Below are 27,854 nucleotides of genomic sequence, written 5' to 3' on the forward strand. Positions count from 1 at the left end.
TGTTGGACATTGTAAGTATCTTGAAGGGATCTCTCAGCAAATTGCTTTGGTTGAAACCCCAGTATATGGTGTCTGTGCATCAGAGCAGGTGAGGGTAAGGCGGGTGCAGAATTTGAGGCACTCACTGTCGTGGTTGGGCAGTGCCAATCCTGCACTGCTGTGTCCTGGGGCCATGCGGCTCTGCAGACCAAGCAGATCATAGCTTTGAATTGGCCAACATTTGGGATGCACCATACCCTAAAAGGTATGGAGCTCAGCCATCTTTGTAGACAGTCCCATAACCTTAGGTTATTATTATTGTTTTCTTGAGCTGAAAACTGACAATGTTTATAGTAAAAGTGAAGTGTATGTGTGTTTATGTGGTGGGGAGGAGGTTGGGGATCAGGAATAAACAGACTCAATAATTGAGAAAAAAAGAGAAGCACATTAACGTGAACAAGTGAGTGCCTTAGAACCCTTAAGTGTAGTTCAAATGAGTTGGCACAAATGATTGTGCTCGCTCTTCTTCCTAGGAAGGAATTGTAGTTCTAAACTACCCACACAGATAAGCTGGTTTCTCTCAAATAAAAACTAACTCTGACTCAGAGTAAGGTTATAATTCATGCAGTTAATCACAGGAGAAGGAAAGATATTCTCACTCTTGGTTAGAGACAGCCTGTCCTAAATGTAACAGTCGAAAATGGGCTTCAACTCAATAGTTCAATGTGATTTCCATTTGCACTTCTAGATAATAGAGAGAGGCCTCCTCAGGCTTTAGCTCCTGGATCTATAGGTGCAAATACAACTTAGAGAATGAAATGTCACTCTTAGGGCCAATTACATTCCCCCTGGGGGCTCAGAGGGGTGTCAGACTGTCCAAGGCAACTTCAGTTCCTCATTTCCTATGGTGTGCCAGGCAAGCAGCCAGTGAGCAACACTGGAGCAGTGGCAGCTCCAGCAGGCAGGACCTATCTTTCTGTGCAGCAAGATGTGGGGTGCACTAGAGGGTAGGGCACAGGCCAGGGCACCCACCCCCTCTGTGGGACAGAGGCCTCTGAGGAGGAGGGAGAGGTGGGCAGGGCTTGCATCGTTTAAAGAAGCATACCTCTGCAGGGTAACCGACTGGCTCTGTTGTTGCAGACCTAGAAAAACTATGTCTTGACTGGGATTTGAGGAAGGGGAGGTGGAGAAGGGGCAACAGTGGCCAGAAAGAGCAGCAGGAAAGCCTGGGTCTAAAGCCTCAAAATGACACTTTGAGAGGCACACCAACACAGGGTATTTCTTTTTCTAATCACTGGGGAAAAAAGAACTCCTAAAGGAGCATCTTGTATTTAAGTGACAGAAAAGGAAACAGAAAGGATGGGAGAACAAAAGGTTATGTGGAAAACAGGAAGGGAAGAAGTGGCTGCAGTCCGGGGTTGTTTTCCTGGCCATCACTCTGATCGTGTCGGAGGACTGAAACGGATCAGCAGGTAATAAAGTTTATTTGAATAAGCAGCCCAACTTAACAGCCAGCTGCTTGTTTTGTAGACACCTGAAAATGTAAATAAATCCTGTCTCCTTTAAAAATGCAACACAGAACATGCTCAGCAACACTGGCAGTTCCTGGGAGAGACCAGGGGAGCGTGATGGTCCGGGCTGCTTTCGTCCTTCTTATGCTCAAGCCTCTCTTCCTTCAAGGGGTCACGACTTTTAAGCTCTCATGTAAGGAAACTATTTATTTCCAAGAACAGGGCACCCAAAGCAATATCAGAGTATGCCAGCTGTGATTTCCAAGCACAAAGTTAACATTCATCTCAGCTTGAGCACGCTGGTGCTTTTGGAGCAAATGAGATTGCTCTCCTTCTCCCTCAAATTATGAATTATGCATTGCCTTCTTGGTTCTTTGGTCGAAGTCACACGTCAAAAAATAAAATCAGAATTACTCTGAACTTGAGGGTTTATTTTCACAAACAGGGCCCTCTATGATGGCCCAGGCAAATCTAAAAAAATGCAAGGGAATAAATATTCACCAGCTTGTTCGGATGAAATTTGAATTTGATAATTTTTCTGCTCTTCATGCATTTTTTATATATATATATATATATATATATATATACACACACACTGTTAAGAGAAAACAGCCTCTGTTAAAGATTGGCTTTAACTATATTTTCACCACTATTGAAATAAGTACAAATGCTCTGTTATTTCCATTAAATATATAATAGTTCATCATTATGTTAGCAGCTCAGTTACAAGTCTCCTGATTCTTAAACTACTTTTGATATTTTGGAGTAAAAGAGACATCCAACATTCCAAGGAATAAGGTGTTTCCTGTTTATCCTTTAAAACTGGGTGTATGGAGCTGAGCAAGCTACAAGGAGTGGTGATGGAGAGTCCAAAAACAGAGCTTTGGCAATTGTAGTAAAGATGCAACTGGATCCATGTGGGGTAGATGGCTTTGTTCATTTCGCCCATCATCTCTATCACTTTATTAGATAAACATGTACACAGTCTACAATAAAGTCCGAGAGAATAATAGCCCAGCTGAGAACTGAAGCATCAGTCCCGTACCTTGACAGATGGGCAGATTATTCCACGTTCCATCATCGCGACATAATGAAACCATATTGTGTAGGTCGGGGTACCGGATCTTGAATCCTTCATGACAAGTGATGATTAGCTTCTCTCCATGTCTATATGTCTTGTTATGAATCTCAGCATCTTCGATTTGAGGGATACGGCAATCTGCAATTTTGTAAAAGGTACACATTATTTTTGGAATTTTAAAACGGTTGTGGTTCACAGCTTCACGAGAAAGCTCTTATTTTCAGACTTGGTCTCAACCTACACAGCAATCTGATAAATGGTACCTCATTTGTCACTAGGCTCAGGTGCCAATGACGAGCAGAAGAGGTGGCTTCACGGGAGTAACGAGAAGGTGGCTCAAAAAGAGGGACCCAGGGCGTGGGGATCCAACCACAAAAAGAACTTTATTTCCTGCCTGTGACACTTCAAACCGTACAGCTGATCTTATGAACAATTTTGGAAATAAGTGGAAAAAGAGAAGTGTTGAGGATTAGCCTGAACTACCTGGTTACATACTTTACTGTGTTTGTGGACAGAACAGAACACAGTGTGGCCTGATGGGCTAGTCTCACAGCTGCCCAGCCATGCCACCTCTGTCTAAGGGTCCCGGCCCTGAGCCTGATAAGAAAATATGCTTTGCAAAACAGCACAGGGGTTGAGCTGTGGCTGTGTTTGCCATTAGCATTTCCTGTCCACCTTATCTGTTTAAAAAGAGATAACAGATAGAGCAGCACACACTACTGCCAATCTCACAAAGGCTCAGAGCAAGCCACTGTGCTGCCTCCTAAAAATGGAGTAAGAGCAAAAGGCACGTTTATAGGAGAAGAGGCAAGGCTGGGGGCTGGGGGAGGAGAATGCCAGTGAAGGAACGACGAGCCCATGCCATGCAGCAAATGATAAGAAGATCAAATAAAATGAACAAGTGATCATTACCCACTTCCAACTGCATCTACTTCCAGTTCACTGTGCAGGCCACGCCACCCCTTGCTGCCAAGTTGGGATCCCACTTCCACCCTAAACACTGCCTAAGTCATCCCATCTGGTTTAAGGCACATTGATCGCAATGTGTCTCTCTCCATCTCTTATGAGCACATGTCTGTTTAATGTTTCTGGTTTTATATGCATACGTGTTTGTAAGCATGACCTACAGATGGGTTATGTTCCAAATTTGTTGATTCTTAACTTTTTAAAACAAGGCAAAAACCAAGAACAGCATTTTGTGAATCATAGAAATTTCCTCCAGAAATTTCTCAACGCTTTAAAAGATTGTAGGTCTCTTATCCATTCCCCAAATCCTACAAAATCCACAATATGGCCAGAATAGTACTAACAGGAACCCTCACCTTTAAGTTGCTCTAAGCTTTGAACTGTCGGCTCTGAGGCACTTGGCCCTGGAAGCCCTGATGTGAGTGGAAGAGAAGGGAAATGCTGTGGCTAGTGGGTGAGTGGGTGACTCTCGTGGCTAGGAACTTTGGTGGCTCGGAAAAGGGCACATCCAGGAGCTAGGAGGTGGGGTTGGGGCTGGGTTTACTGGGAGAAATGGGAAGTATGGCACAACAGACTTCAGAAAATAGGATGTCAATGATGGGAAAGACTCAGGCAGACAGGGGCTTCCAAGTTAGAGGAGAGCTTGGCAGCTGGGGATGCAGGGGTGGTGGCTGTTCACTGCCTGCATGGGTCACCTGAAGTCAAATGCTTGTAAGCCCAGGTCTGCCCTTATCTCAGCCTTTGTCATCACCGTTAGCTTGAGAGCAGGGACTGTGTTGCTCACTTCCTCTGACCCTCCCACCATGCTTCTGACCTGCGCACACACCTGGCGAAAGAGTGCCGAAAGGAGTTCTGTGAACCTCTGCCCAAGCAAGCTGTGAGGGCACAGCCCTCTGGAGCACGGCTAACAGGCTTGGGGCACAGCCCTGCAGCTCAGCCTTCCCTGAGGACACCTGTCATCAGGTCTTCCCTTTGCCCATGATTTCAACAAAGAGAGTCTGGGGTGAAGAACTGTGTTCTGGCTTTGGTTTTACCTTTCATATTTATGTTTCAGGCCGCGAAAAGGGGTTTTCTTTTCCTTTTTGAGACAGAGTCTCACTCTGTCACCCAGGCTGGAGTGCAGTGGCATAATCTCAGCTCACTGCAACCTCCACCTCGCAGGTCCAAGAAATTATTCTGCCTCAGCCTCCCGAGCAGCTGGGACTACAGGTGCATGCCACTGTGCCCAGCTAATTTTGTATTTTTAGTAGAGATGGAGTTTCACCATATCAGCCAGGATGTTCTCGAACTCCTGACCTCATGATCCCTTGGCATCCCAACGTGCTGGGATTACAGGGGTAAGCCACCACGCCCAGCCTGAAAAGGGGTTTTCTAACTGTTCATGTTTAACAAACAGTTTTCCTGCTAGCATAGTTGAGTTCCCCAGAATCAACCCCAATCCCAGAATAATCCTAACTGGGGTCACAAGATCATTGACAATTCTTTGCACACTGCTGCTGCCTTAATAGAAAATGTGAATTACGTTTTTTCAATCGCACTCTACAGAAATTATTCACAGCAAATAAAAACACATTTATCAAGGCATCCGTCTGTAAAATCTTGGCTGTAAATAGGTACTGCGGCAGTAATTTACACATTGAAACAACTATTTTCATGATTGATTTAAAACTTGTTCAGCAATTAGCTGGTATACTCAGGAGGTGACCAGCTATAGAGAATAAAGTCAATGGATAGAAGCGTCCCTTTGGGCATTATGGACACGTGGACATTGGCTGGCTGGGAGCAGAAGCACCCAAGCCTTGTTTCTAAGAGTGATTTCTCAGCATAGTGTTGTGTAATGTAGAACGCTTTCAACTTCTAGTTAGAGCTAAAGTTTCCCCAAACATGGCATGGGGACTATTGCAGAATATAAGACACAGGGTTAGAGGGAATTCACAGCTTCCTGAATCCCAGTGATGATGTGCCCTCCTGAAAGAAGAGTCACCATAGGGAGTGATGCCAGGCCAATTTACTATGTGGGAGGAGCCACATATCAACTAGGGAGTAAGAAGTAGGGTCCAAATCCCAACAAGGGGAAGAGGCCAGGAGGGGCAGTGCCCTAGGAATGAGTACAAAACAAACACAGATCAGCTCTATCAAAAAAGTCAACCTTGACAGAGAAAACATTAACCAGAGCCTTTATGATTTCTTTACCCACAAAGTCTGGCATCTGATCCTCCCCCTAAAGGAGGGTGAAGTAGGAAGAAGGTATCTAGAAAAAAGTATGTGCCCAGTGAGTTCTCTGTAGTAGTGAAAAACCATGGACCTTCTTTCCACAGAAAAAAAGAATCTAGGATCTTTAGTGTCTGACAGTAAATGTCTAATATCCATCAATTCTGAAGTCTCAAACAGAAATAACATAATTTTCTATAGCATAAACTAATCTAGTCAATAGAAAGAATTTTGAAGGCAGGTGGCTCACCCCTATAATCCCAACACTTTGGGAGGCCGAGGTGGGTGGATCACCTGAGGTCAGGAGTTTGAGACCAGCCTGGCCAACATGGTGAAACCCCGTCTCTACTAAAAATATAAAACTTAGCCAGGCGTGGTGGCACATGCCTATAATCCCAGCTACTCGGGAGGCTGAGGCAGGAGAATCGCTTGAACCTGGGAGGTGGGGGTTGCAGTGAGCCAAGATCACACCACTGCACTCTACAAAAATATTCATCAAAATCTGCTTCTGTCCTATTGAATCTGGTCAACAATTAGAACTTACGTGTATGAGGCATAAATAGGCCATTCAGGGTGTAACTTGAAGGATATCAAAGCCTTCCATTCTGGAAATCATCTTTCACCAGCCCAACACTGTCATTATTTCTATATCCTGCTTCTGGTATCAATGGGGATTCAATATAGTGAATAAATAAAAGAAGGAGTAAAAGATCCTAAGGCAGCATTGCATATTTATACCCAAGTACAAATTAATTTATCAGATTAGTTAGCAGAGAGCAGCGCCTAAGGGATGGAGCAGAAATAGTAACAGTAAAAGAAATCTTAAAGAAAATGTGCCATACATAGGATTTACTGTTCTTTAAAAGTTAGTTATACTTGAAAATGAATCCAATTCCTTCAACACACCAAGTTTTGACATTAATACTCCCCCAAAACTGTTCCCAGGAACATGAATACATAATACACGCTCAAGAGATTCACAATCCACAGAGTAGATTAAAGGCTCGAACGGTCTTACTGTAAAGAATTCTACTTAATTTTGTTTAAACCAGCATTTGTCAAGCTTGTTTATTCATCCAGCTGTTCATTCATCCATTTTATGAATTACAGAGCACTCACTCTAGGCTCAGGGTGTCCTGGGTGCTGGGGATAAAGAGTCAAGGGCCTTACTCTTACAGCACTTGCATGGGAGAAGACTGCAAATGGGCAAATTAACAGCTAAAGGTGCTAGAAAGTAGCAGGCAACACTCACTGCCACGATGAACACATAGCAAGGTGACATGATAGGGACTGACTCAGGAACTCTTTTAATTTGGGTAGATAGGAAAGGGGCCCCTGAGGAAATGACATTTATTAAGCTGAGATCTGAATGACAAGAACAATTTAATTATGTATGGGTCTTGGAGAAGAACATGTTAGGCAGTGGCAACAGCTAGTGCAAAGGCCAGGAAAGAGCTTGGTGTCCTTAAAAACACTAAAGAAGACCTGTGTATTTGGAATATAGTGACCAAGAAGGGGAGGGACAGGCCAGATCATGCAGGGCTTTGTAGATTAGGGCAGGGAATTATTTTAGTGTGATAGGGAGTTACTGGGGTTTGTTAAGCATGGGCCAAGGCATGATCTGATTTATATCCTCAAAGGGTTTCCCATATGTACAGTAAAGGATTAACTTACCCAAGGAGAGGTTTAGGCATTTGCCCTCAGCTCCTGAGAGGTAACCTTTAGCCCCTGGAATGTCTGGCTTGAGATGAGTGTCTTTGTTTGTCTGGGGGCTCTGGGCCACGCTAGACAGATTATGCCAACAGTATGATGTATGGCAGGGGCCTTCGCCATGCCATCTGGTCCATGCTAACATGGATTTTAGTCCATGCTAACATGTGATTTAAGCTTTGGGTCATGGGCCATGCAGTATCGGGTCAACTTCTGGAGGGAGAGGGAACTAAGAAGATCAGCCACACTGTGGTCAGCCATGCCCACGTGACTAAGCCCTGATTAAAACTCTGGACACTAAAGCTTGGTGAGTTTCCCTGGTTGTCAACACTTCGTGTATATTGTCATACATTGTTGCTGGAAAAAAGAGGTGTTGTCCATATAGCCCCACTGGAAGACAACAACTGAAAGCTCATGTCTGGTGACTCCTGAACCCTGCCCTACGCACCTCTTCCCTTGGCTGATTTAATCTATGTGCTTTCATTGTAAAAAGCCTTAGCCATGAGTAGAATAGTTTTCCTGAGTTCTGTGAGTCTGAGTTCCTGAGTCCTAGTGAATTTTTGAACCTGATGGTGGTCTCAGGGAGCCCAGATTTATAGCTGGTATCACAAGTGAGGGGGGTCTTGGGGACTCTGAACTTAGTACCACAGAATGCTTTTTTCACTTACTATCCACTAACATCCCTCAGGAGCACTGTTCCATATCAGTGCCATTCCACCCTTCTGCTGTTCTAAAGAACTGTCATTCCAGCACAGCTCAGAGCACACTGTCCCAACCACCACAATTTACTCAGGATCGGGCTGAAGAAGCTGAATGAAACCAACTGAGACGAATGATTTGACCACCAGCAATTAACGAAAGGCAGAGAAAACGAGGGGCAAAAATCAATGCTCTTCAGAGATGACTGGAGAGAGAGGATGCTTCATAGAACAGGAGGCACCACCATGTGGGATAGTTTTGCTTTGTGAGCAGGGCTGGTCCAGGTTGTTTCTTTCATATTTAAAGGACACTGACTCTTTGAAACCTGAAGAAGAACTAGAACCAGACACTTAAGACCTTTTGGCTTGCAGCTGAAGGTAGTTAGGCCCTGGCTTAAACTCACTGAGAAAAAGCCCCGTGAAAAACAGTTGGTCAAAGAAAAGTTATTATAATAAGCATGCTTCTTGTACTTAGTGTCTTTGTCTGGTGCATAGATTGGAATATTTTATTTATTTGTGGTTGACAAAGGCAATTAGTAGATTCGTATTTCATTATTTAAAACATTCATTTCTATATTTAACGCATTGAGGGCAATTATTTGTGGGTTCTTAGCTATTCACTTGGAGGGACTGAGACTGCTACACATTCTTCTAAGCACACGTGGAACATTTACAAAAAATGACCATACCTGGGCAATAAAGAAAGTCTCAAAAAAATTTCAAAACAACAAAATCATAGAGCTCTTTTTTTTCTGGCCACAATGAAATAAAGATAGAAATGAATAGTTAGAAAATCTCCATATTTTGGGAAACTGAGTAGTACCTTTCTAAACAACCTATGAGTCCAAAAATACTGACTGTTCAGTGCTGTGTACACTGCTATATGTATTTTATTTCATATATTTTTTAAAAGTTAAAACAACAACAATAGAATTAATCCAGAAAGAAGAACAAGGACATCACTGCCTATGTAGCTGTCTTTCCCAGTTCATCTGGAGCCTCTGGGCCTGGCAAGTAGAGAGTGCTTAACGGAATTCTGGGGAGTGAACGACTAAACATATTGGGGGTGGTGCTGAAATTCTCAAAAGCATAAAACCTCAAATATTTGCCAGCAAATTTTCAGAAGACAATTTGACCTCTGAATGTAGGTTATGTAGGTTGTTGGAAAAACTGGGTTTGATTCAGAGTTTTGTCCTAGAAGGCAAATCTAACCTGATTTCTTGCTTTTCTCTTAATAAACCCAATTTTAATTATTTTATCTTTAAAGAAACTTTAAGGTCACTTTCCACCTTCTGGAAAGTTCAACAACAAGGAAGTGACAGAAAGCACTTTAAGGCCAGAGGTGAACTCACAAGAAAAATAAAAGAAGGCATGTCAAATGCCCTTCTCATGGGCTGATGACTTCCAGAGGTTCTACCCCATGTCTCATGCTCTGCTCATAGAGTGCACATGGTAAGCATCTCAAGGAATCCTCTGAGGCTCCACAACATGAGAATCACCTGGAAATGCCTGGTAAATTCCGATTCTTTGTTGCATACAAGCATCTGAGCTTGGGGCCTGGAAATGTGCCTTTTTTTATGGCTCCCAGCCCCCGCCCCCGGCAATTACCATGAAGTCAAACACTGAGAACCACCATGTGATGGGCTATGCAAGGTCAGTCTGCGTGACTGAATAGACTGAAGAATAGCAATCAAAACTCAAAGGCTGGCTTGGAATTTAACAAGCGCTGGCCCATCTCTTAGCAGGTGTCTCAGACAAATGTAATAAAGAAAAACAGAACCTAATCCGCGCAAGCTGGGGCACCAAGGCACACCGAGGCCTCACACTCTTGCAGACCCAGCATGGGGTGCCAAGGAGATCTGAATCAGTAATAGGACTCACAGGATGCTGCCTGAAAGCCTCGGTCAGCCCCCAAACTGCTCAAAGACTGGCATGAGAGAAGATGAATTTCATCTGCAGTGGGTTTGGAAGGACCCGAGTGGGGGTAGGTCTGCATTTTTCATAAGTAGCCAACATAATTCTGGATAGTTTCAGTTGCAAGCTTGTGAAAAACTGCTTTCTGGGGAAATCCCCCCAAGTCAGTTTGGTGTTCAGGGTTGCTAACAGTCACTGTGCGACCTTTATACAGGCTCTGACAAGGATCTGTGTATGTGCTGATGATGTTGTTGTTCTCCATTTGCCTGACAATTCTGGGACTTTGAGCAACTCCCTACCTCCACAGCCCCTGTACAGAAAGAGTGAGGTCTCAGCACTCACGTGTGCAAGACCGCATGAGGCAGCTGGTTCAGGAGTAACAGCTGTCAAGATTTGCACTTACTGGGGGCTTGGTTGCACAGGCTTGAGAACCCTTGTCTGTGGTGGTCCACCTGTCATCTTGCAACCATCATAACTGATCACTTCTGTCACTTATCTTTGCAGGATTTGCCTCGACCTGACCTGATATTATTTCCTATGGATTTTCTTTCCCTTTCAAGTCTGGCCACATTTAAGTTAAATAAATATTTTAGAAAACAAAAACTAAACTCACATGGAAGCCACAAGGGAGCAAGTACAGGATAGCAGTGGCTTCTGTTAACAGCAGCATAAATAAGAAATGACAGTGGTCCTGGGGACAGGTAGAAGCATCCCTCTGCTCCTTCCCTTCTTAGGAGATGGAAAATGAGGACAGAATATCTTGGGGGAAGACATGCAAATACTTGCCCTTGTGGGCACAGGCTGTCATTTCTGATAATCCACATCTAAGGCAATAAGAAAGAAATTTTAGATGATAGAGAATGCACATGAGAAAAAAAAAATCCCAAATAAAATATTTTTAAAGCATCCATCTGTTTTGATGAAGCCTCTGGAGCTAGAAGACAGCTCACTTAACATATAAGTAACTGGAAACATGAGTATGACCACCCCGCTTTTGAAAAATGCCTGCACCCCACAGTTTCAATGAATAAAGGAGTTATCTGCCAATTTTACTGCCAGCTTTAGCTTATGAGTTGAGCTGAATCTTTTAATTAAAAATTTATAACGTAATAATAATACTTAAACTCATATTGCACCTTTTCCCCAGGAAGCTCAAAGAACCTTCTTAACATCAAATTATTCATCTTTTATAGCAATCCCGGTCAGGTCTATGGGAGCCAAAATATTTTAGCGAGTACTTAAAACTAATGCTTGATGAATGGATGATATTTTTTTTTTTTCCTTTTTGCACTCTGCAAGGAACCGAGACAAGGTTAAGCATGGAGACAGAGCAAACTGGAGCTGTGGCAGGAACAGCTCCTCCTCCTGTGCTCTATGCCACCTTTAGCCACAATCAGGTAACCAGGGACCCTGGGACAAAAAGCACAGGTGGAAGGGATCCCTGGCTGCACACTGAAATTACCTTGGATCCCTTGAAAAGAGGTCCCTGGGTGTGCCCAGGCATAGGTTGAAATACCTATGCCTGGGCTCCCACTACCCAGAACAATTAAAATAGAGTCACTTGAAGTGGGTCTCAGGCACTTCTATTTTTAAAAGTTCTGCAAGTGATCCTGACAGGCAGCCTGGGTTGCACACCACCAGGATATAGAAAGAGCACTGGACAAGGAGTCAAGACACTGGTCTAATTCCCAGCTTTCCTGCTGTGTGACTTCTATAAGTCACTAAAGCTCTTATATGGTTCAGTGTCTCCATTTGGAAAATGACAACACTGACATTTCTGATTCTAAGAATTAAACATCTCTAAGGATCTTTGTCGAACACTAGAGAAAATTATGTTATTCTCCCTTCTTACAAAGCAATATCAGACCATATCCCTAAATTAGTGAGTCTCAAACATTTTTATGTGTAAGAATCAGCTGGGAGATTTTTTTTTAAATGCAGATTCCTTGGCCCCACCCTTAGCATTCTAATGCAGGAGGTCTGAATATGTACTTTTCCTAAGTTCTGATGCAGGTAGTCCTTGGCACATACTTTAAGAACCAGTCCCGAGTTCCAAGATGGCTGAATAGGAACAGCTCCGGTCTATGGTTCCCAGCATGAGCGACGCAGAAGACAGAAGATTTCTGCATTTCCATCTGAGGTACCAGGTTCATCACACTGGGGCTTGTCAGACAGTGGGGGTAGGACAGTGGGTGCAGCCCACCGAGTGTGAGCCAAAGCAGGGCGAGGCATCACCTCACCCAGGAAGCACAAGGGGTCAGGGAATTCCCTTTCCTAGCAAAGGGGAGGGGTGACAGATGGCACCTGGAAAATTGGGTCACTCCCATCCTAATACTGCGCTTCTCAAACGGTCTTAGCAAACGGCACACCAGGAGATTATATCCCACGCATGACTGGGAGGGTCCCACACCCACAGAGCCTTGCTCGTTGCTAGCACAGCAGTCTGAGATCGAACTGCAAGGCAGCAGCGAGGCTGGGGGAGGGGTGCCCACCATTGCTGAGGCTTGAGAAGGTAAACAAAGCAGCCTGGAAGCTCGAACTGGGTGGAGCCCACCACTGCTCAAGGAGGCCTGCCTGCCTCTGTAGACTCCACCTTTTGGGGCAGGGCATAGCTGAACAAAAGGCAGCAGAAACCTCTGCAGACTTAAATGTCCCTGTCTGACAGCTTTGAAGAGAGTACTGTGGTTCTCCCAGCACGGAGTTTGAGATCTGAGAACGGACAGACTGCCTCCTCAAGTGGGTCCCTGACCCCCAAGTAGCCTAACTGGGAGGCACCCCCCGAGTAGGGGCAGACTGACACCTCACACGGCTGGGTACCCCTCTGAGACAAAGCTTCCAGAGGAACGATCAGGTAGGAACATTTGCTGTTCAGCAATATTTGCCGTTCTGCAGCCTCCACTGCTGATACCCAGGCAAACAGGGTCTGGAGTAGACCTCCAGCTAACTCCAACAGACCTGTAGCTGTTAGAAGGGTCCTGACTGTTAGAAGGAAAACTAACAAACAGAAAGGACATCCACACCAAAACCCCATCTGTACGTCACCATCATCAAAGACCAAAGGTAGATAAAACCACAAAGATGGGGAAAAAACAGAGCAGAAAAGCTGAAAATTCTAAAAATCAGAGCACCTCTCCCCCTCCAAAGGAACGCAGCTCCTTGCCACCAATGGAACAAAGCTGGATGGAGAATGACTTTGACGAGTTGAGAGAAGAAGGCTTCAGACGATCAAACTTCTCCGAGCTAAAGGAGGAAGTTCAAACCCAATGCAAAGAAGCTAAAAACCTTGAAAAAAGATTAGATGAATGGCTAACTAGAATAACCAGTGTAGAGAAGTCCTTAAATGACCTGATGTTGCTGAAAACCATGGCACAAGAACTACATGACAAATGCACAAGCTTCAGTAGCCGATTCGATCAACTGGAAGAAAGGGTATCAGTGACTGAAGATCAAATGAATGAAATGAAGTGAGAAGAGAAGTTTAGAAAAAGTTAGAAGTTAGAGAAAACAGGGTTAAAGAAACGAACAAAGCCTCCAAGAAATAGGGGACTATGTGCAAAGACCAAATCTACATCTGATTGATGTACCTGAAAGTGATGGGGAGAATGGAACCAAGTTGGAAAACACTCTGCAGGGTATTATCCAGGAGAACTTCCCCATTCTAGCAAGGCAGGCCAACATTCAAATTCAGGAAATACAGAGAATGCCACAAAGATACTCCTCGAGAAGAGCAACTCCAAGACACATAATTGTCAGATTCACTGAAGTTGAAATGAAGGAAAAAATGTTAAGGGCAGCCAGAGAGAAAGGTTAGGTTACCCACAAAGGGAAACCCATCAGACTAACAGCGGATCTCTCGGCAGAAACTATGAGCCAGAAGAGAGTGGGGGCCAATATTCAACATTCTTAAAGAAAAGAATTTTCAACCCGGAATTTCATATCCAGCCAAACTAAGCTTCAAAAGTGAAGGAGAAATAAAATCCTTTACAGACAAGCAAATGCTGAGAGATTTTGTCACCACCAGGCCTGCCCTACAAGAGCTCCTGAAGGAAGCACTAAACATGGAAAGGAACAACCGGTACCAGCCACAGCTAAAACATGAAAAATTGTAAAGACCATCGATGCTAGGAAGAAACTGCATCAACTAATGAGCAAAATAACCAGCTAACATCATAATGACAGGATCAAATTCACACATAACAATATTAACCTTACATGTAAATGGGCTAAATGCTCCAATTAAAAGACACAGACTGGCAAATTGGATAAAGAGTCAAGACCCATCAATGTACTGTATTCAGGAGACCCATCTCACGTGCAGATACACACACAGGCTCAAAATAAAGGGATGGAGGAAGATCTACCAAGCGAATGGAAAACAAAAAAAGGCAGGGGTTGCAATCCTGGTCTCTGATAAAACAGACTTTAAACCAACAAAGATCAAAAGAGACAAAGAAGGCCATTACATAATGGTAAAGGGATCAATTCAACAAGAAGAGCTAACTATCTTAAATATACATGCACGCAATACAGGAGCACCCAGATTCATAAAGCAAGTCCTTAGAGATCTACAAAGAGACTTAGACTCCCACACAATAATAATGGGAGACTTTAACACCCCATTGTCAACATTACACAGACCAACGAGACAGAAAGTTTACAAGGATATCCAGGAATTGAACTCAGCTCTGTACCAAGGGGACCTAATAGGCATCTACAGAACTCTCCACCCCAAATCAACAGAATATACATTCTTTTCAGCACCACATCGCACTTATTCCAAAATTCACCACATAGTTGGAAGTAAAGCACTCCTCAGCAAATGTAAAAGAATAGAAATTATAACAAACTATCTCTCAGACCACAGTGCAATCAAACTAGAACTCAGGATTAAGAAACTCACTCAACACTGCTCAACTACATGGAAACTGAACAACCTGCTCCTGAATGACTACTAGTTACATAACGAAATGAAGGCAGAAATAAAGATGTTCTTTGAAACCAATGAGAACAAAGACACAACATACCAGAATCTCCGGGACACATTTAAAGCAGTGTGTAGAGGGAAATTTATAGCACTAAGTGCCCACAAAAGAAAGCAGGAAAGATCTAAAATAGACTCCCTAACATCACAATTAAAAGAACTAGAGAAGCAAGAGCAAACACATTCAAAAGCTAGCAGAAGGCAAGAAATAACTAAGATCAGAGGAGAACTGAAGGAAATAGAGGCACAAAAAACCCTTCAAAAAATCAATGAATACAGGAGCTGGTTTTCTGAAAAGATCAACAAAATTCATAGACTGCTAGCAAGACTAATAAAGAAGAAAAGAGAGAAGAATCAAATAGACACAATAAAAAATGATAAAGGGGATATCACCACCAATCCCACAGAAATACAAACTACCATCAGAGAATACTATAAACAACTCTACGCAAATAAACTTGAAAATCTAGAAGAAATGGATAAATTCCTCGACACATACACTCTCCCAAGACTAAACCAGGAAGAAGTTTAATCCCTGAATAGACCAATAACAGGCTCTGAAATTGAGGCAATAATTAATAGCCTACCAACCAAAAAGAGTTCAGGGCCAGATGGATTCACAGCCGAATTCTACTAGAGGTACAAGGAGGAGCTGGTACCATTCCTTCTGAAACTATTCCAATCAATAGAAAAAGAGGGAATCCTCCCTAACTCATTTTATGAGGCCAGCATCATCCTGATACCAAAGCCTGGCAGAGACACAACAAAAAAAGAGAATTTTAGACCAATATCCCTGATAAACATCGATGCAAAAATCCTCAATAAAATACTGGCAAACCAAATCCAGCAGCACATCAAAAAGCTTATCCACCACGATCAAGTGGGCTTCATCCCTAGGATGCAAGGCTGGTTCAACATACGCAAATCAATAAACGTAATCCAGCATATAAACAGAACCAAAGACAAAAACCACATGATTATCTCAATAGACATGGAAAAGGCCTTTGACAAAATTCAACAACCCTTCATGCTAAAAACTCTCAATAAATTAGGTATTGATGGGATGTATCTCAAAATAATAAGAGCTATTTATGACAAACCCACAGCCAATATCATACTGAATGGGCAAAAAGTGGAAGCATTCCCTTTGAAAACTGGCACAAGACAGGGATGCCCTCTCTCACCACTCCTATTCAACATAGTGTTGGAAGTTCTGGCCAGGGCAGTCAGGCAGGAGAAAGAAATAAAGGGTATTCAATCAGGAAAAGAGGAAGTCAAATTGTCCCTGTTTGCAGATGACATGATTGTATATTTAGAAAACCCCATCGTCTCAGCCCAAAATCTCCTTAACCTGATAAGCAACTTCAGCAAAGTCTCAGGATACAAAATCAATATGCAAAAATCACAAGCATTCTTATACACCAATAACAGACAAACAGAGAGCCATATCATGAGTGAACTCCCATTCACAATTGCTTCAAAAAGAATAAAATACCTAGGAATCCAACTTACAAGGGATGTGAAGGACCTCTTCAAGGAGAACTACAAACCACTGCTCAACGAAATAAAAGAGGATATGAACAAGTGGAAGAACATTCTATGCTCATGGGTAGGAACAATCAATATTGTGAAAATGGCCATACTGCCCAAGGTAATTTATAGATTCAATGCCATCCCCATCAAGCTACCAATGACTTTCTTCACAGAATTGGAAAAAACTACTTTAAAGTTCATATAGAACCAAAAAAGAGCCTGCATTGCCAAGACAATCCTAAGCCAAAAGAACAAAGCTGGAGGCATCACGCTACCTGACTTCAAACTATACTACAAGGCTACAGTAACCAAAACAGCATGGTACTGGTACCAAAACAGAGATATAGACCAATGGAACAGAACAGAGCCCTCAGAAATAATACCACACATCTGCAACCATCTGATCTTTGACAAACCTGACAAAAACTAGCAATGGGGAAAGCATTCTGTATTTAACAAATGGTGCTGGGAAAACTGGCTAGCCATATGTAGAAAGCTTCCTTCCTTACACCTTATATGAAAATTAAATTCAAGATGGATTAAAGACTTAAATATTAGACCTAAAACCATAAAAACCGTAGAAGAAAACCTAGGCAATACCATTCAGGACATAGGCAAGGGCAAGGACTTCATGTCTAAAACACCAAAAGCAATGGTAACAACAGTCAAAATTGACAAATGGGATCTAATTAAACTAAAGAGCTTCTGCACAGCAAAAGAAACTACCATCAGAGTGAACAGGCAACCTACAGAATGGGAGAAAATTTTTGCAATCTACTCATCTGACAAAGGGCTAATATCTAGAATCTACAAATAAATGAAACAAATTTACAAGAAAAAAACAAACAACCTCATCAAAAATGGGTGAAGGATATGAACAGATACTTCTCAAAAGAAGACATTTATGCAGCCAACAGACATATGAAAAAATGCTCATCATCACTGGCCATCAGAGAAATGCAAATCAAAACCACAATGAGATACCATCTCACACCAGTTGGAATGGTGATCATTAAAAAGTCAGGAAACAACAGGTGCTGGAGAGGATGTGGAGAAATAGGAACACTTTTACACTGTTGGTGGGACCGTAAACTAGTTCAACCATTGTGGAAGTGAGTGTGGCAATTCCTCAAGGATCTAGAACTAGAAATACCATTTGACCCAGCCATCCCATTACTGGGTATATACCCAAAGGATTATAAATCATGCTGCTATAAAGGCACATGCACAGGTATGTTTATTGCAGCACTATTCACAATAGCAAAGACTTGGAACCAACCCAAATGTCCATTAATGATAGACTGGATTAAGAAAATGTGGCACATATGCACCATGGAATACTACGCAGCCATAAAAAAGGATGAGTTCATGTCCTTTGTAGGGACATGGATGAAGCTGAAAACCATCATTCTCAGCAAACTATCACAAGAACAAATAACCAAACACCGCATATTCTCACTCATAGGTGGGAACTGAACAATGAGAACACGTGGACACAGGAAGGGAAACATCACACACCAGGGCCTGTTGTGGGATAGGGGGAGGGGGGAGGGAAAGCATTAGGAGATATACCCGATGTAAATGACGAGTTAATGGGTGCAGCACACCAACATGGCACATGTATACATATGTAACAAACCTGCACATTGCGCACATGTACCCTAGAACTTAAAGTATAATAATAAAAAAAGAAAAGAACCAGTCCCCTGCATGAACAGATTTGGTAACGAGATCCAACCCTAATTGGGTATGGGCCTGGGGCCATTATAATGTGTCACCTGCCTTCCCTCCCTTCTCCTTGCCTGGGAAACATCATGTTTGGTCAGGTGAGATGACCATACTGGAAAGAAAACTCAAATTTGAATCCCAACTCTGTCACTACCAAGGAGACCATGGGAAATTCAGCCTCTCAGAGGCTTCACTTTCTCATCTGTAAAATAAGGCTGTAGAACCTACTTTGTAGGGTTGCTGTAGTAATTAAAGAAGATGATGTATATAAAGCATGAGCATGTTTATTGCAGCACTATTCACAATAGCCAAGATATGGAATCAACCTCGGTATTCAACAATAGATGAATGGGTAACGAAACTGTGGTACATAAATGCCATGGGATACTATTCATCCATAAAAAAGGATAAAATTTTGTCATTGATGGCAACGTGGATGGAACTGGGGGACATTATTTTAAGGCTTATTTTAATAAGCCAGGAATAGAAAGTTAAACACTGCATGTTCTCACTCATATGTGGAAGCTAATATAGACTGATCTCATAGAAGTAAAAAGTAGAAAAGAGGCTACTAGAGGCTGGGAAGGGTAGGGGAAAGGGTGAGAGAGATTTCTTAAAGAATATAAAGTCACAGATAGATAGGAGGAATAAGTTCTAGAGTTCTATACCTCTGTAAAATAACTACGGTCAACAATAATATATTACAGAGTTTCAAATCATAAGAAGGAAGATATTGAATGTTCCCAACACAAAGAAATAATAGATATTTGTGATGATGGACATGTGAATTGCCCTGATCTGACCATTACACATATATGTATTAAAACATCACTATGTATCCCATGAATATGTATAATTATATGCCAATTTAAAAAATAAAACATAGGTACCCAATCCATATGACAGACATCTCCTTAAAATACTGCAGTCTTGTTGGGGACAGGAAAACAAGGGCAACATGCAGACCAGGAAGAGGGATACATGCTGGGGTGGGCAGGAACACCAAGGGAGGCTTTGCCTTCAGTGACTGGGGATGGGGCCAGGTTCTGGACAGATGTGTAGCGACGTTCCTCCTTCTCCTTCAACTGCTGCCTCTCTGAATCCCTGTCCATCTTTGTCAGCATCCCCAAAATACATGACTTTGGACAGGCAACTCAATTCACAATGCCCCACAGAGAACTCAGATTCAACTGTACTGACAATATTAATTGTGGCCAAAGCAACGATAAGGTATGCACTAAGCCAATCAGAAATGTGGAAGGAAAGAGTACCCATGTGCTTTCCTTGTGTGTAAATGATTAACAATGGAACCCAAATGTCAGCAAAAGCAGTAAAAGGCCAGAAAACATGGTTCACATATACCATGAAATACTATGCAGCCATAAAAAAGAACAAGATCATGTCCTTTGCAGCAATATGGATGGAGCTGGAGGCCATTATCCCAAGCAAACTAACACAGGAACAGAAAAACAAATACCTCATGTTCTCACTTACACGTGAGAGCTAAGCAATGATAACATGTGGACACAAAGTGGGGAACCACACACACCGGGAATTACTTGAGGGTGGAGAGCGGGAGAGAGGAGAGGATCAAAAACTACCTATGGGGTACTAGGCTTGTTATGTAACAAAATAATCTGTATACCAAACCTCCAAGACACCCAGTTTATCTACATAACAAACCTGCACAGGTATCCTTGAACCTAAAATAAAAGTTAAAAACAAAAAGTCCGGGGAAAAAATCAGCTGAAGGAACTCAGTGTGAATATCCATGGGCAAAGGCCCACCTGGGAGAAGCTGGGACTACAGGTGTACACCACCATGCCTGGCTAATTTTTTGTTTTTTTGTTTTTTTGAGATGGAGTCTCGCTCTGTCGCCCAGGCTGGAGTGCAGTGGCGCAATCTCGGCTCACTGCAAGCTCCTCCCCCTGGGTTCATGCCATTCTCCTGCCTCAGCCTCCCGAGTAGCTGGGACTACAGACGCCTGCCACCACGCCTGGCTAATTTTTTGTATTTTTAGTAGAGATGGGGTTTCACCGTGTTAGCCAGGATGGTCTCAATCTCCTGACCTCGTGATCCACCTGCCTCGGCCTCCCAAAGTGCTGGGATTATAGGCGCGAGCCACCGCACCTGGCCAATTTTTTGTATTTTCAGTAGAGACAGGGTTTCGTCATGTTGACCAGGCTGGTCTAGAACTCCTGGCTTCAAGGTGATCCACCTGCCTCAGTCTCCCAAAGTGCTGGGATTACAGGCATGAGCCACCGCAGCTGGCCTGAGAAATGCAAATCTTAACCAGACCACCTGTCAAAAGGTTGTGGGGAGCATCAGGAAAGACAGAGGCAATGGGTTCCACCACACTCATGGCCAAGTGACTAAAGAAGACAGGCAAGGAAAATGGAGCTGCCATCGGGCCTCCCTTTCATGGATGAGAATTGCCTGCTTGGTTATGCAGGTAATAAATAATAACATCGAGTGAGTGCCTGGGGCTGGCCATCAGATGTAGAATGTCTCAAGCGTGTCATTTGTGCCTACATCTCCCTTTCAGATCAAGGAACCTCTCCCTAGAGAAGCACCGCAAGGTTGGATGAGCTTGTTCTTTGTGTTGTTAGGTGAATCTCATGAAGACAAGCCATGTTTCCCTCCACTCCATGGCCATATCTTGAAGCTTCACTCTTCTGGGTGATGTAGGTTGGACCCAGGATTTTGAGCCAGAGCCTGTGGCTACATTGGTGGGTGACTGCTGTCAGAGCAAGGAAAACCATCCTAGGGATGGGCTCGACTTACAGAGGTAGCTTTGTTTGTTTGCTTTTGTTTTTGAGGCAAGTCTTGTTCTGTAGCTCAGGCTGGAGTACAGTGGCACGATATCGGTTCACTGCAACCTCTGCCTCCTGGGTTCAAACAATTCTCATGCCTTGGCTTCTCAGAGTAGCTGGGATCATAGGCGCGAGCCACCACACCTGACTAATTTTTGTATTTTTAGTAAAGACAAGGTTCCGCCATGCTGGCCAGGCTGGTCTCGAACTCCTGGCCTCCAGTGATCCACCCACCTCAGCCTGTCAAAGAACTGGGATTACAGGCGTGAGCCACCGCACCCAGCCCAGAGGTAGCTTTTGAAGGTACATTAAATGTGCGGTTTCAACAATCCTTCTGCTTGACCCCTCTGCTCCTCTCCCACTCAAAGGAATTGACTGGCCAACTACAGAGGAAGAATTTCCTGAAAAAGTCTTCTGCTCAGGCAGTTCATTTTAAAAGCAAGTGCTGCTCTGTGGAGGCCCCGTAAGTTCTCTTAAGGACCTTATGCTGGGATTAAGAAGAGCCCTGCACAGTGGTTTTAAGGTGTTCTCAGAACCTGCTTGTTTAAGACTCTCACTTAAACAAGCTATCTGACAGACCTATGGGACTCCAGCTTCATGAAAATACTTTATTCACTTAATATGGATTTACCTGAAGTTTACTTGAAACCAAGTGACCGATGCAACCAGTGACTACTCTCAGAGCTGCTCAAGAAAAATGGTTAAATAAAAAGAGAAAGGGTCTTCTTCCACCTTACAGAGAAAAGCTCTATTAAAAAGTCCTTCAACATTAAAATCTAATTTCATAAAATTTTAAGTCTGCAGCAGGCTCCAGTTTAGTCTCCAAAAGCACACTCCCCCTGCAAAGAGGAAACTCAAAGAAGAAAAGAGAGTTGTCTTTCTGCACAAGGAACATGTTGTCTATACCCAAAGGTGTTCAAGGAACACCCTGAATCTACCCAGGTGCTGAAGCTCCTGCTAGAGGGATTTGGCTTTTAAAAATGTCATAACCACCTCATATGGTTTGGCTCTGTGTTCCCACCCAAATTTCATCTAGAATTGTAATCCCCATGTGTTGAGGGAGGACCTGATGGGAGGTGATTGGATCAAGGCAGCAGTTTCCCTCATGCTGTTCTCGTGATAGTGAGGGAGTTCTCATGAGATCTGATGGTTTTAAAAGCAGGGGTTTTCCCTGTGTGCTCTCTCTCTCCTGCCACCATGTATGCCGTACTTTGCTTCCCCTTCGCCTTCTGCCATGAGTGTAAGTTTCCTGAGGCCTCCCCAGCCATGCACAACTGTGAGTCAATTAAACCTCTTTTCTTGATAAATTACCTCGTCTCAGATAGTATATTTATAGCAGTGTGAAATGGACTAATACACCACCCTTCCCAGGAACTGAATCCTAAGGGAGGAGGAATTTGGGTGCTGTACAACATTATCTCATAGCCTATGTAAGATTCTCACCCAAACCAGGAGCTGAGTGCAATTAGTTACTTGGTTCTCTATATAAGAAACAAAACCAAAAACTCCTATCTGGCTAGTATAGCCAATGCCATAAGAGCTGAGATGAACTCTGTAACCCAAAAGATGCTTAAGTAAGGAAATATTTTCATCAATGATGACAATGGATTTTGGCAAGACAAGGGTTGATTCTTCTCTCCTTTCTCTCATATAATACTTATTTATAATATAAATGAATCCTGAATTGATTTTAGTCTCTTTAAGATGTTTACTTTTTAAATGTGCTAATTCTTTATGATGTACAAACCGAAGTTCATCACCACACAAAGTCTGACTGCTACTCCTTGCAGCAAGAGCTTCAGTGAGGATGCAGCATTTTTTATGTCCTGAGGACGTATGTGTTGAGTAAGTGTTTGTCAAGTGAATTCAGGTAAAGTCAATCTTGCTTCACCTCTGTCTTTTCTTATGAAATGTAGGAAAGGGATATATTTACTCTGGAAAAGTATCCCCAAGTAGACATAACTGAGTTGGTTTTGGAAAGGAAGCGGCCAGATGGTGGCCAGCACCCTGGCCTTTAGTCACTGTACTTACTAGGTCAGCAGCCCTGCGCCCACGGGGTGTATTTTCAGTCCTTTGCCAATTCTAGGGTCTCCTCTCCACCATATAGGTCACCTCCTCTGTTCCCTGGGCCATAGACATTTTCACCCATGCTTGGGGTCATGCAGGCTCCAGTCTTGCAGAAGCAGCTTGAAGAAGCACAGACATCTCTGAGGTTGGAGACTTTGGGGGCCATAAAGTGAATTCATTCAGTTCTGTAAATTCAGACCTCTATAAATTTAGTTCACTTGGAAGAAGCAAGTTGAATTGGAATAAGGGGGCCATGTGAAAAGGGGGAATGGCTGTACATGTGGCAGGATGAGGTGGGAATAAAAGAAAGGGATCTGTGCGCACCCAAGAGAACAGCTGCCCAATACCACCTTGCTTCTGTAGAGCACTTTACTGTCATAAAGCATTTTAATGGATATGAACTTAGTTTTTAAAAAATCTGCATCTCAGACAGGACTGACCCATGGTGTGAAAGGAGTCCAGGTAACAGTGACAAGCCCGGGGGCTGCAACAGGTCTTTCCCTAAATTGTCATTTAACTCTGGGAAGGCTCTTACCTTATTTGAGACTCAGTTTCTCTATAGGTCAAACAAAAACTAAATCGGAATGAGGGCTTGAATTACGTGATTTCTCTGAGTTCCTTCAACTCCAAACCTGGATGATGTCATTTGTTGTAACAAGGTGCTCTTGTGTAACAGATTAGAGTGGGGCTGTTGTGACATAAACAAGGTTAGACTCAACCTTGTAGAGGAAAAACAATGCTGTTGTAGGATTAATTCCAGCCAGGCTGCTTACTCATCAACTGTGTGACCTTAACAAAGTGAGTGAGCCTCTCTGAACCTCAGTTTCCTAATCAGGAAACAATAAGACTCATCTTATAGAATTGTTGTGCATGTTAAATGAAATAGTGAATCTGAAAGCACTTTTAAACTTTAATGACCTATAACAATGTGATAAATTATTATTGTTACCATTATTACCACCATTCCAGAAATTCATTAGCCTTCTAAGAATTACCTGGCAAGGATAACAAATGAATTCAGCAGCCCTTACTACTTGCCCAGCATAAATCCTAATCAGGGAGCATGGCTATTTACAAAGCAGAAAAAAGACATTCTGAAAGTTTAGCTTTTTCACTGCTATGTGACATCGGTGGTATAGACTTCTAGGTCTCCCTCCAGCCCCCTATAAACCACATAGAATAAAGAAAGCCTAGAGTGTTAACAATCATGACTTTCTCTACTATCAGGGCAACACAAACAATCTCTTTATACAGATCTTTCAAAGACCAACAAAATTACCATTCAAATTAAAAATAAATACACCATTGTCTTAGAAAGGTAATATCTGCTCTTCCAAACTTCCAAAAATGATTGGAGCACATCACGACTGGAATCCAAGGACCTGAATGTCCTTTGGACACACGTGGTCTTATTTGAGGTTGCCTAATAAAAAAGCTGACTTCCTGCTGCCATGCCTATGTACAAGCCCCTCCCTGCACATCTGGGGCTGAGTGTTAAGAACTGTACATGAATTCCATTAAATAAGTAGAGAAAAAAAAAAGAATGACACATGCAGACCAGTACAATAGAAGCCCCCTACTCTAAGGTGATTTCTCACCCCCTTTCTTGCCATGACTACGTAGTACCTAGTTATGTATAGGGTTGGAAAGAAGCTTGACAGAAGGCCTTCATCTCTGGGCAATATTTAAGAAGCCTATTTTGGTTTTCTCTGTTCTCTGATGTTCCTAAGCCTGACTGTTTTTAAAGCACTGGGTAACATAAGCCATAGGTTTTGGCAGGGAAGTCTATATACATATATATATATATATGAACCAAGTAACCTTTAAATAGAATCTCAGGGAAACCACAGCTTGCATAGGCTGCATGCAAGAGGAAAAAATGAACTTATTTTTAAAAACCTTAAGTCTTTATTATATTTATTATGGCTTTTTCTTATACCTTGAAAATAAAAGCAAAGATAGCAAGTACTTTAAGAGCAAGACACCATCTTATCTATCCTTTACAATTTCCAGAAGGAGGAGCAAAATAGGCACTTATAAAATGCTTATCACGGCCGGGTGCCGTGGCTCATGCCTGTAATCGCAGCACTTTGGGAAGCTGAGGCAGGTGGATTGCATGAGCTCAGGAGTTTGAGACTAACCTGGGCAACATGGTGAAACCTCATCTCTACAAAAAATACAAAAATTAGCTGGGCATGGTGGCGAACGCAGGTAGTCCCAACTACTTGGGAGATTGAGGTGGGAGGATCACTTGAGCCGAGTGGAGGTTGCAGTGAGCCAAGATTGTGCCACTGCACTCTAGCCTGGATGACAGAGGGAGACACTGTCTCAAAAAAAAAAAAAAAAAAAAAAGCTTATTAAGTTATTTAAAAAGTAAAAAGTTTCATAAAGGAAATATACACTAAATCATGACAATAGTTTCCATATTATTATAAAAGCTCCATTCCAAAATAAAATCAGTGTTAAGAGAAACTGAAACTAATTTCAAATGAACTCAATGAAATATAAGTTCTGTGCTTCATGGAAATTTGGGACCAGAATTAATTCTTGATTCATGCCTATTCCAACTTCAGCCCTGCTGGTCTTCTGAGATATATCATCAACAATTTGACATTCTAATTGGTTAAACTCCATGCATTTTTAAAAAGTCTGAATGTATCTACATAAAGTAAAAACAAAAAAAAGTATATAAAGTTGTTTCAACCAACAGATGTGGGGTAATTGCTAGAAGTGAATGAATATCTTGTCACTACCAATACATTTAGGGATAATTGCTAGAAATAAATGTCTACCTCGTTAATCTGTCACTGCTTGTCACAGTTCTTTCTTTTCCTAAATGCATCACATCTAACACAGAACTGATAAGTAGTAATTGATTTAATCCTCTGAGTAATGCACATCTTCTGTAGGACTAAATACAGTTTTTGCACAGTATATTTACTGCACATTTTATTGAGTAACATGAAAATGAGTGCTGAGTTGGCAGCCTAATAATAAATACCCGTAATGTTATCTGAGTTGCTCTCCTGCATTGACAAAAATGGTGATAAATTAGATTGTAATTGAGACAGAGAAAAAAGACTATTACTTCTAATGCAGAGATTAATTAACCCTCTATCCCAACCCTCATTACCCACTCCTGCTTTCTGGTCAGCATGCAGGTGCAGCCCTGCATCAGAGAGAAGAGCCCAGGGTATTGAGCTGTCACACAGCCCTGCACCCCTGTGGCCATGCAACTTGAACCACATGAGTGGCTTCCGTGGAGAAGTAAGCACTTTACCTTCTTGCACACAGATGGAATTATCACTTGGGATCCAGCCTAGGGTTCCATTAAAATGCTTCAAACACAGTCTCTTTGTAGCGCCCTTCAGCTTGAATCCGTCTTGGCAGTGAAATCGGGCTACAGAGCCTTCAAAGAAAACCCCTCCGCTGGGGGTCCTGAAGCCATTCTCGGGAATGCCGGGGTCAGCACACACTTGAAGGTCATCGAACCCTACATCAACAAAGAGAGGAAAAGGTGCCTATGAATATGTTCTCTCAATGCCAAGGGCCTTCCTACATAAATGGCAGACCCTGCATGATGTCATACGCCTTGGACACTCCAGTTACCCCACCACCAAAGCCAAGGACATTTTAGTGCACATTCTACTCTGCTTTTAGCTCTTTGCTCAGAAAAGCACTGAGTAGAGTTTTCTGTTCAATGGCCAAGTTAGCCTTTCAAGGAAGTTACAGGAGGAGGGAGAAGGAAACAGACAAAAAGGATTTCACATGACAAGTGCCACAAAAGATGTACAAAATGCTGAAGAGAGTTGAGGAGGGAACAGTAGGTGGGAGGGATTCAAGGAGATGGCATCTGAGCCTGGCCTTGAGGAAGGGGTGAAATTTCAAGACAGAACTCTGTGCAGGGAGGCATGGGTGGTTTTCTAACGGTAGAAATGGCATGAACAGTGAATGGCTGGGGACTGGAAGACGGCAGCGTGTGTTGAGGGAGCAGCAAGTGGAATGTAGTTATAACCCAGGGTCTATGGTAGGGGTGGCTGGGAATGCCCTTCCTCCTCCTCTTACCCCTACCCCTATCTGCCAGGGGAACATTCACTCCTCAAGACCTATCCAAGTTTCTCCTCCACCCGGCTGCCTTTCTTAATTTCACTCTCCGCCTGCCTCATCCCTACTTTGTTCCACTGCTGTAGCGTCAACACAGCTGTGTGCTGAATTACCTGCAGAACAGCTGCCTCTCATCCCAGGCTGTGCGCCCTCCAAGAACAAGTCCTATGACTCCATCCTGACATCCCCAGAATCTACCACAGTGTCTTCTGTATTCAGTGCTCCATACCAGTTTGCTGAATGAATAAATGAGGTTGGAGGACAGCAGCTTGAGAGACTGACTGAAAGAGAGAGAGCCCAGAAGCCCAGGCAGGAGAGCAAGCAAGGGTGTGGGTAAGGGGTGATGGGCTGAGAGCAGTGGAGACACAAGGAGGATGCTGGTGTCTGGGACACTTGGATTCTAGGCTCCCCTTGTCAACTGACTGGATGTTGGAGTGAGGAGGAGACCTAAGAAATTTTGTGCCCAGACAGCTGGGATGAATGCGGACAAGCAAAAATGGACATCATGAGCCACAGCTAGGGCCAAGGATAAGGGAGGGTCTGCTGTGTACATAATGC

General features: G+C 43.0%; 1 protein-coding gene across 14 annotated transcripts in view; it reads right to left on the bottom strand.

Annotated features, from left to right (window-relative positions):
• Positions 1 to 27,854, bottom strand: part of SUSD4 (sushi domain containing 4) — a 144,405-nt gene that overhangs the window by 45,136 nt on the left and 71,415 nt on the right. For 13 of the 14 annotated variants that reach the window (XM_024447936.2, NM_017982.4, NM_001410929.1 and 10 more), the window contains 2 exons: positions 26,473 to 26,685; positions 2,536 to 2,709 (listed from right to left, as the gene is read on the bottom strand). In XM_024447936.2, coding sequence (XP_024303704.1) covers positions 2,536 to 2,709; positions 26,473 to 26,685 — 387 coding nt within the window. Of the gene's footprint in view, positions 1 to 2,535; positions 2,710 to 23,156; positions 23,312 to 26,472; positions 26,686 to 27,854 lie in introns of those variants that run through there. The other variant, XM_047423713.1, reaches the window with a different exon arrangement.

Source organism: Homo sapiens, chromosome 1 (genome assembly GCF_000001405.40).
Source record: "Homo sapiens chromosome 1, GRCh38.p14 Primary Assembly".
NCBI classification, from domain to species: domain Eukaryota; kingdom Metazoa; phylum Chordata; class Mammalia; order Primates; family Hominidae; genus Homo; species Homo sapiens.